This window comes from Homo sapiens, chromosome 5, assembly GCF_000001405.40.
Source record: "Homo sapiens chromosome 5, GRCh38.p14 Primary Assembly".
Classification (NCBI taxonomy): Eukaryota; Metazoa; Chordata; class Mammalia; order Primates; family Hominidae; genus Homo; species Homo sapiens.
In genome coordinates, this window is record NC_000005.10 from 67,816,839 (window position 1) to 67,828,150 (window position 11,312).

Consider the following 11,312-nt stretch of genomic DNA (forward strand, 5'->3'; position numbering starts at 1 on the left):
AGAGCCCCCTTGGTAAAAAACAGAACAATGGCCACCATTTATGAACATTTAACATGTGCCAGACTCTGAGCTAAGTACTTTCAGTATACCAGCTAATTTAATCCTTCCAACACCCATTATGAGGTAGGTATAATTAACTACTCTTTACTCTTTCAGAAACTGAGCCTTTAAGACATTAAATAACTTGCCTCAAAGCATACAACTGCCAGGTGTTGGAGTCAAATCCCAGGCCCATCTGACTCTACAACCTTACCCTCAATCATTATGTTATGTTAATGCCATAGAAAACTAGACGTCATTAAGCCTCCTCTAGTCTAACCTTTTACTGAGTGCACAAATTCCCTTGATAACATCCCAAACACATGGCCATCTATGGCTCTGTAACCTCCGCTAAAGGAGCAGTACTGCATAGCCTGGCATTTCTCGAACTGGTACCTGAATCCTCAAAGCAGATAGATTCTTAACACCCATTTGTACCCAGAGGACATTCAAAGCCATAGTCTAACCATGCCCCCTCTCCTAGAGGGTCAATTATACTTAAAGAGATGGAGGAGCAATTATATTTTTTATTAAAACAAACAATACAGCTAAGTCCTCACTTAGTGAAATGCCAAAAAACAAAACCAATTTTATTGTAGGCTAATTGATATAAATAACAGTAATGGCCTATTTCCGTTCACAAAAACATCACCAAACTTCTAAAGAAAAACCAAAACACTTCTAATATTTAACACTGAAATAAATGTGAGCTATATGTACATTTAAGAAAGATTAATAAAAACAAGAAAATCATTATTTACCCACTGCCTCAGAGTCCCCACTGCCTCAGAGTCCCCACAAGGAAAATGCCTGGTGGAGGCCGCAGAAGCAGGGCCACCCACCCTCCAGACCCTAGAATATTAGAGCCACCAGCAGTGCGCAACCTCAGCGTGGAGAAGCTGCAGGCATTTGACTGCAACTCACAAGAGCAGCCAAGTGGGCCGAGCCTGCGAAGCCACAGAGGCAGGGCTTCCTCGGCCTTGGGAACCCACCTCTCACCGGTGTGCCCAGGATGTAGGACATGGAGTCAAAGGAGTTCATTTCTGGAGCTCTAAGACTTACTGTCGCAAGATGGCCGAATAGGAACAGCTCAGGTCTACAGCTCCCAGCGTGAGCGACGCAGAAGACGAGTGATTTCTGCATTTCCATCTGAGGTACCGGGTTCATCTCACTAGGGAGGGCCAGACAGTGGGCGCAGGTCAGTGGGTGCGCTCACCGTGCACAAGCCAAAGCAGGGCGAGGCATTGCCTCACTTGGGAAGCGCAAGGGGTCAGCGAGTTCCCTTTCTGAGTCAAAGAAAGGGGTGACAGACGGCACCTGGAAAATCGGGTCACTCCCACCCGAATACTGCGCTTTTCCGACGGGCTTAAAAAACGGCGCACCACGAGATTACATCCCACACCTGGCTCGGAGGGTCCTACGCCCACGGAGTCTCGCTGATTGCTAGCACAGCAGTCTGAGATCAAACTGCAAGGCGGCAGCGAGGCTGGGGGAGGGGCGCCCGCCATTGCCCAGGCTTGATTAGGTAAACAAAGCAGCTGGGAAGCTCCAACTGGGTGGAGCCCACCACAGCTCAAGGGGGCCTGCCTGCCTCTGTAGGCTCCACCTCTGGGGGCAGGGCACAGACAAACAAAAAGACAGCAGTAACCTCTGCAGACTTAAATGTCCCTGTCTGACAGCTTTGAAGAGAGCAGTGGTTCTCCCAGCACGCAGCTGGAGATCTGAGAACAGGCAGACTGCCTCCTTAAGTGGGTCCCTGACCCCTGACCCCCGAGCAGCCTAACTGGGAGGCACCCCCCAGCAGGGGCACACTGACACCTCACACGGCAGGGTACTCCAACAGACCTGCAGCTGAGGGTCCTGTCTGTTAGAAGGAAAACTAACAAACAGAAAGGACAGCCACACCAAAAACCCATCTGAACATCACCATCATCAAAGACCAAAAGTAGATAAAACCACAAAGATGGGGAAAAAACAGAGCAGAAAAACTGGAAACTCTAAAAAGCAGAGCACCTCTCCTCCTCCAAAGGAACGCAGCTCCTCACCAGCAACGGAACAAAGATAGACGGAGAATGACTTTGACGAGTTGAGAGAAGAAGGCTTCAGACGATCAAACTACTCCAAGCTACAGGAAGAAATTCAAACCAAAGGCAAAGAAGTAGAAAACTTTGGAAAAAATTTAGAAGAATGTATAACTAGAATAACTAATACAGAGAAGTGCTTAAAGGAGCTGATGGAGCTGAAAACCAAGGCTCAAAAACTACGTGAAGAATGCAGAAGCCTCAGAAGCCAATGCGATCAACTGGAAGAAAGGGTATCAGCAATGGAAGATGAAATGAATGAAATGAAGCGAGAAGGGAAGTTTAGAGAAAAAAGAATAAAAAGAAATGAGCAAAGCCTCCAAGAAATATGGGACTATGTGAAAAGACCAAATCTACGTCTGATTGGTGTACCTGAAAGTGACGAGGAGAATGGAACCAAGTTGGAAAACACTCTGCAGGATACTATCCAGGAGAACTTCCCCAATCTAGCAAGGCAGGCCAACGTTCAGATTCAGGAAATACAGAGAACTCCACAAAGATACTCCTCGAGAAGAGCAACTCCAAGACACATAATTGTCAGATTCACCAAAGTTGAAATGAAGGAAAAAATGTTAAGGGCAGCCAGAGAGAAAGGTCGGGTTACCCACAAAGGGAAGCTCATCAGACTAACAGCGGATCTCTCGGCAGAAACCCTACAAGCCAGAAGAGAGTGGGGACCAATATTCAACATTCTTAAAGAAAAGAATTTTCAACCCAGAATTTCATATCCAGCCAAACTAAGCTTCATAAGTGAAGGAGAAATAAAATACTTTACAGACAAGCAAGTGCTGAGAGATTTTGTCACCACCAGGCCTGCCCTAAAAGAGCTCCTGAAAGAAGCGCTAAACATGGAAAGGAACAACCGGTACCAGGCGCTGCAAAATCATGCCAAAATGTAAAGACCATCAAGACTAGGAAGAAACTACATCAACTAACGAGCAAAATAACCAGCTAACATCTTCATGACAGGATCAAATTCACACATAACAATATTAACTTTAAATGTAAATGGACTAAATGCTCCAATTAAAAGACACAGACTGGCAAATTGGATAAAGAGTCAAGACCCATCACTGTGCCATATTCAGGAAACCGATCTCACATGCAGAGACACACATAGGCTCAAAATAAAAGGATGGAGGAAGATCTACCAAGCAAATGGAAAACAAAAAAAGGCAGGGGTTGCAATCCTAGTCTCTGATAAGACAGACTTTAAACCAACAAAGATCAAAAGAGACAAAGAAGGCCATTACATAATGGTAAAGGGATCAATTCAACAAGAAGAGCTAACTATCCTAAATATATATGCACCCAATACAGGAGAACCCAGATTCATAAAGCAAGTCCTGAGTGACCTACAAGGAGACTTAGACTCCCACACATTAATAATGGGAGACTTTAACACCCCACTGTCAATATTAGACAGATCAATGAGACAGAAAGTCAACAAGGATACCCAGGAATTGAACTCAGCTCTGCACCAAGCGGACCTAATAGACATCTACAGAACCCTCCACCCCAAATCAACAGAATATACATTTTTTTCAGCACCACACCACACCTATTCCAAAATTGACCACATACTTGGAAGTAAAGCTCTCCTCAGCAAATGTAAAAGAACAGAAATTATAACAAACTATCTCTCAGACCACAGTGCAATCACACTAGAACTCAGGATTAAGAATCTCACTCAAAACCACTCAACTACATGGAAACTGAACAACCTGCTCCTGAATGACTACTGGGTACATAACAAAATGAAGGCAGAAATAAAGATGTTCTTTGAAACCAATGAGAACAAAGACACAACATACCAGAATCTCTGGGAGGCATTCAAAGCAGTGTGTAGAGGGAAATTTATAGCACTAAATGCCCACAAGAGAAAGCAGGAAAGATCCAAAATTGACACCCTAACATCACAATTAAAAGAACTAGAAAAGCAAGAGGAAACACATTCAAAAGCTAGCAGAAGGCAAGAAATAACTAAAATCAGAGTAGAACTGAAGGTACTAGAGACACAAAAAACCCTTCAAAAAATTAATGAATCCAGGAGCTGGTTTTTTGAAAGGATCAACAAAATAGATAGACCGCTCTCAAGACTAATAAAGAAAAAGAGAAGAATCAAATAGATGCAATAAAAAATGATAAAGGGGATATCACCACCGATCCCACAGAAATACAAACTACCATGAGAGAATACTACAAACACCTCTACGCAAATAAACTAGAAAATCTAGAAGAAATGGATAAATTCCTTGACACATACACTCTCCCAAGACTAAACCAGGAAGAAGTTGAATCTCTGAATAGACCAATAACAGGCTCTGAAATCGTGGCAATAATTAATAGCCTACCAACCAAAGAAACTCCAGGACCAGACGGATTCACAGCCGAATTCTATCAGAGGTACAAGGAGGAGCTGGTACCATTTCTTCTGAAACTATTCCAATCAATAGAAAAAGAGGGAATCCTCCCTAACTCATTTTATGAGGCAAGCATCATTCTGATACCAAAGCCTGGCAGAGACACAACCAAAAAAGAGAATTTTAGACCAATATCCTTGATGAACATTGATGCAAAAATCCTCAATAAAATACTGGCAAAACAAATCCAGCAGCCCAACAAAAAGCTTATCCACCATGATCAAGTGGGCTTCATCCCTGGGATGCAAGGCTGGTTCAATATACGCAAATCAATACATGTAATCCAGTATATAAACAGAGCCAAAGACAAAAACCACATGATTATCTCAATAGATGCAGAAAAGGCCTTTGACAAAATTCAACAACCCTTCATGCTAAAAACTCTCAATAAATTAGGTATTGATGGGACGTATTTCAAAATAATAAGAGCTATCTATGACAAACCCACAGCCAATATCATACTGAATGGGCAAAGACTGGAAGCATTCCCTTTGAAAACTGGCACAAGACAGGGATGTCCTCTGTCACCACTCCTATTCAACATAGTGTTGGAAGTTCTGGCCAGGGCAATTAGGCAGGAGAAGGAGATAAAGGGTATTCAATTAGGAAAAGAGGAAGTCAAATTGTCCCTGTTTGCAGACGACATGATTGTATATCTAGAAAACCCCATTGTCTCAGCCCAAAATCTCCTTAAGCTGATAAGCAACTTCAGCAAAGTCTCAGGATACAAAATCAATGTACAAAAATCACAAGCATTCTTATACACCAACAACAGACAAATAGAGAGCCAAATCATGAGTGAACTCCCATTCACAATTGCTTCAAAGAGAATAAAATACCTAGGAATCCAACTTACAAGGGATGTGAAGGACCTCTTCAAGGAGAACTACAAACCACTGCTCAAGGAAATAAAAGAGGATACAAACAAATGGAAGAACATTCCATGCTCATGGGTAGGAAGAATCAATATCGTGAAAATGGCCATACTGCCCAAGGTAATTTACAGATTCAATGCCATCCCCATCAAGCTACCAATGACTTTCTTCACAGAATTGGAAAAAACTACTTTAAAGTTCATATGGAACCAAAAAAGAGCCCGCATTGCCAAGTCAATCCTAAGCCAAAAGAACAAAGCTGGAGGCATCACACTACCTGACTTCAAACTATAGTACAAGGCTACAGTAACCAAAACAGCATGGTACTGGTAGCAAAACAGAGATATAGATCAATGGAACAGAACAGAGCCCTCAGAAGTAACGCTGCATATCTACAACTATCTGATCTTCGACAGACCTGAGAAAAACAAGCAATGGGGAAAGGATTCCCTATTTAATAAATGGTGCTGGGAAAACTGGCTAGCCATATGTAGAAAGCTGAAACTGGATCCCTTCCTTACACCTTATACAAAAATCAATTCAAGATGGATTAAAGACTTAAACGTTAGACCTAAAACCATAAAAACCCTAGAAGAAAACCTAGGCAATACCATTCAGGACATAGGCATGGGCAAGGACTTCATGTCTAAAACACCAAAAGCAATGGCAACAAAAGATAAAATTGACCAATGGGATCTAATTAAACTAAAGAGCTTCTGTACAGCAAAAGAAACTACCATCAGAGTGAACAGGCTACCTACAAAATGGGAGAAAATTTTTCGCAACCTACTCATCTGACAAAGGGCTAATATCCAGAATCTACAATGAACTCAAACAAATTTACAAGAAAAAAACAAACAACCCCATCAGAAAGTGGGCAAAGGACATGAACAGACACTTCTCAAAAGAAGACATTTATGCAGCCAAAAAACACATGAAAAAATGCTCATCATCACTGGCCATCAGAGAAATGCAAATCAAAACCACAATGAGATACCATCTCACACCAGTTAGAATGGCAATCATTAAAAAGTCAGGAAACAACAGGTGCTGGAGAGGATGTGGAGAAATAGGAACACTTTTACACTGTTGGTGGGACTGTAAACTAGTTCAACCATTGTGGAAGTCAGTGTGGCGATTCCTCAGGGATCTAGAACTAGAAATACCATTTGACCCAGCCATCCCATTACTGGGTATATACCCAAAGGACTATAAATCATGCTGCTATAAAGACACATGTGTATGTTTATTGCAGCACTATTCACAATAGCAAAGACTTGGAACCAACCCAAATGTCCAACAATGATAGACTGGATTAAGAAAATGTGGCACATATACACCATGGAATACTATGCAGCCATAAAAAATGATGAGTTCATGTCCTTTGTAGGGACATGGATGAAATTGGAAATCATCATTCTCAGTAAACTATCACAAGGACAAAAAACCAAACACCGCATATTCTCACTCATAGGTGGGAATTGAACAATGAGATCACATGGACACAGGAAGGGGAACATCACACTCTGGGGACTGTTGTGGAGTGGGGGGAGGGGGGAGGGATAGCACTGGGAGATATAACGAATGCTAGATGACGAGTCAGTGGGTGCAGCGCACCAGCATGGCACATGTATACATATGTAACTAACCTGCACAATGTGCACATGTACCCTAAAACTTAAAGTATAATAATAAAAGAAAAAAAAAAAAGACTTACTGTCTGCCCTGCTGGGTTTTAGATTTGCTTGGGACCTGTTTTTCCTTGCTTTTAGCCCATTTCTTCCTTCTGAAATAGAAATGTTTACCAAATGTCTGTTACACCATTGTGTCTGGAAAGTAAATAATCATTTTCGATTTTACAATCCTAAGTCTCAGGAAACTTGCCCTGAGTCTCAGTTGAGACTTTAGGCTTTGGACTTTTAAGTTGGTACTGGAACAAGTTAATCCTTTTGGGACTATTGGGATGGAAAGATAGTATTTACATGTAAGGACATGAGTTTTTTGGGGCCAGGAGCAGAATGCTGTAGTTTGGAGGTTTGTTCCCTCCAAACCTCATGTTGAATTTTGGGGCCTAATGGAAGGTGTTTGGGTCATGGGGGTGGATCTCTCATGAATAGATGAATGCCCTTCCTCAGGGATGAGTGAGTTGACTTCTTGCTCTATTGGTTCTTGTTAAAAAGAGCCTTGCTCCTCCCGCCTTTTCTCTTGCTTCCTCTCTCACAGTGTGATCTCTACATATGCCACCTCCAGCTCCCCTTTACCTTCTGCAATGAATGGAAGCAACCTGAGGCCCTCACCAAATGCAGATGTCAGTGTCATGCTTCTTGTAGAGTCTGCAGAATGATGAGCCAAATAAATCTTTTTCTTTGTAAATTACACAGCCTCAGGTATTTCTTTATAGCAACACAAAACAGAATTAAGATACCCACTTATTCCAGTTTAGGGTCTTAAGTGGCCACAGCCTATCTCAGCACCTCAGGGAACAAGGTGGGAACCTGGCCTGGTCAAGATATCATTCCATTGCAGGGTGCACTCACATCCATGCCCACATTCCCTCAGACTGGGCAATTTAGACATGCCAATTCACCCAACATGCCCATCTTTGGGAAATGGAAAGAAACCAGAGTACTCGAAGAAAACCCATGCAGACATGGGAAAAAATGTGCAAACTTCACACAAACAGTGGCTCTGGCCAGGAATTGATTATTTTTCTCATCAGTATTATAACAAAACAACATTGAACAAAAACAATGTTATGTGAGGATCAACTGTATACTGTGGAATTAATCGCAACATCATCATTTATGAAACCTTAAAAATTAGCGCTTGCATTGAACAATTACATTCTACAAGACCAGAAGCTGCAATCCCATGTGACTCCCCACCCCAAACTGATACTACTACCAGGTTCAAATTCTGTCTGCTATACTTAGTAGTACTTCAATGCAAAAGAATGAGAGGAACTGGTTTAGTGGACTAAGTATAATCTTTGGAATCTAAGTCCAAAGTTCATATCCCATCACTACTTCTAATCTGCTATCAGCTTAATCATGAGCAAGTTACTTAATCTGTCTGAGCCTCAGTTTCCTTATCCACAAAATGGGAATGATATTGCTCACTTCTTAGAGTGGTTGGGGGGATTAAATAGACAAGTACAAGTGTCCAGAATAGTTCCTGGCACATCAGAAATTATCAGTATGGTTTCCTTCCCCCTCATTCTCTGAAATCCACTCTAAATTAGTATGTTTAGCATAATCGACCCTCCCAGCATCACAGAGGGGCTCCTGCTTGTCACTGAAGCTTCCTGAACCTCTTTTTATACTACCCTTGACAAGACTCAGTTAATGAACATTGCTAGAGATTAGCTGGTGTGAATCACAGGCTCCGTCTCTATTTCCTTCCTCACCTCCTGTCTAGCTTTCCTCACTGGAGAGCTGCCATTCCTCCCACCTGCAAGATGTGAGTACTGCCTGTACACTACTAGGCCACATCTAGTCACCTGTAATCTCAAAGCAATGGTCATTTGAAGTATCTGGATAGGAACACAAAGATATCTAAAGCTGCAAGAGGATCCGGGTTTCCCTAGAAAGACAACCTTATTATCTCAGAGGAATTTGCAAAGTGCACAACTTGGGAGGAAGAAGGGACTTCTTCCTTGGGGCTACTGAAAATTGTTCACTTTGGTTTTATAGAGACCTCCATTTCTGACTCAGGCTAGGGGGAACCATTCATCAATAACAGAGAGGTGGAAAAGGGATTTGCAAACAAGGATCCACACTTAATCAGCAGGTGCCAGAAATTGCATCCCAGTGCTGTGAGCTCTCCTTACACTGACAGAAGTGGCAAAGGGAACAAGGGGTCCAGGTGCGCCCCAGGCTGTGTCCCAGTCTCACAGCTGATAGCTCGGCTCTTGAAACCCCAGGGGATGGCTGGCTGGGGTGGTATTACAGGGCTGGTAAAGTGTTGCTTTTTAAAAATACACATTTTATTGTGATAATGGGATGTTAAAGAAAGAAAGAGAAAGGCAGGTGCCCCTTGGGAGTCATTCAACAGCGTTACCACATGTGATACCTAGGGAAGCATTTCCCTTTTTGCTTAGAAACAACCAGCTACCCAGGTGGTGCCTGGGTAAGGTTTCTTAGCCAGCACCTCTTTGACCTGGTGAGGAAGCCAGTAACAATTTAGCTCTCTTTGTTTCTTCCAACCGCCATCTAATTCATGGGCAGTGGTCTGACTTCTTCTTTATGCTTTTCCCTGGAGCAGCAGGGTCATTGCTCTTTGAACTCAGCTTTCTGAACTGGAAGGAACGGGCCCAAACCAGGCTGTCATGCGTCCATCCCAACCCACTGTGGGCTCAGGGGGTTTCCTCTGTTTCTGTGAGAGCAAGGGCAGGGACAGAGTGTTGTGGCCAGGAAGGTCTGATGAGCAGCTACTCTGTCTCGCTCAGCTTCACAACTCTCTACCAATCAGCTAAGTAAACTGATGCCTCTATGTCTCTCAACTGAACCACAAGTTAATTGGAAAGTCATCCTGCAAACCTGGGTATTGGGGAGTGAATAAAATCCTCTCTCTCTGACAAGGCTAGTAGTTCCTTTAGCCAGTTGCTGGTTGAGAAATTCTTATCAGTAGTGCCCTTTATATACACAGTTGAAGTTGATATGCCTTTAAAATTCTCTTATCATACGGATTTTTACTTCTTAGCACATTATAAACCCAGTAGGACAAACTGTTAAAAAAAAACTGTTAAAAAGGACTGTCTACAAATCTATTAATCCTGGGATACAAAGTGTAGGATTTTCCATCAGCCAAAGTTATTATTGTTCATTTTGTGCTCTGAAGGTGCTTTTCCCTTTGTTTAATGAGCTAAAGCTTCAGGACAACCCTGTTAGAGGGGCTGATGCCATAGCAGTCATTATCTTCATTTTCTGCACAAAGTGTCAAGAAAGGAAGTGATATACTAGAGGTCCTGGAGCCTCTGCTTGAACTAGGACTTGAACCCTTATAATCCAGAGCAAGAGGCTGAGACTTGCCCCTCTAACTTTTACCACCACTAAACTAGCCATCCACCCCCTGAAGGGGGCTGCCCATTTTAACCTTTCTTATTTACACATCTGTTTATTAAATCCCACTTTAGAAGAGATGAGAGGCAAAGAGAGAAATTAAGAAAATATTCATATCATAAGTCATTGTGTCCTCACCAGATGGAAGAAAAATAAAGAAAAATTTAGCAATTCTTTCAGATGAGTTTAAGGAATGTCCCTGTGTGTCTTGAATGGCAAGAGAAGGAAAACATTCCCCTTTCAATGGGTACTTCCTCTGCTTTAAACTGGCAAGAAACACCTCAATAACGGGTTGTACAGAATGTTACTTCAAAGACCTCAAGTTGGCACTTTGGATGCTCTTGCCACAAACTGTATCCAAAAATGATTTAACTTCCCCCAGCCAGTGATGCGTACAAATGGCGCACACACCACTAACCACACATGCACGCAACATATGAATTCCCATATTCCTGATTTCTCATTCCAACTTAAGAATACTTTTTCCAGAGCTAAAAAGACATGAATCGAGTTCGTAAAAGGATATGTGAGAAAATGCCAAAAGAAAAATGAAAATCAGATGCTTTTAAAGGCAGAGCCTGAAGTGCTTTGCTGAGATGTTCTGCACCCTAAAGGCCACCGAATCTTGTAGACCAAAGGGTCATAGGGTATGGCAGCAGGAGGAAAGTAGTTTAGTAGTTCTTTAAAGTAGTTATAAAATACTTAATCTTCTGAAGGAATGGTATTTCTGAGTAGTTCTTATGGGCATAGCATCCCTGCAACTCAAAATACTTTTCTGTATCATTGTTGCTATACTTTCAGCTGGTGGGATTCTTGAGAATGAAAGAAGTCATT

General features: G+C 42.2%; 1 annotated feature.

Annotated features, from left to right (window-relative positions):
• Positions 1,181 to 1,879: an enhancer, noted in NCBI's record as "OCT4-NANOG-H3K27ac-H3K4me1 hESC enhancer chr5:67113847-67114545 (GRCh37/hg19 assembly coordinates)". NCBI's record gives its function as "activates a minimal SCP1, AML or CMV promoter by ChIP-STARR-seq in naive H9 embryonic stem cells {active_cell/tissue: H9 hESC(naive)}" and the evidence as "EXISTENCE:reporter gene assay evidence [ECO:0000049][PMID:30033119]".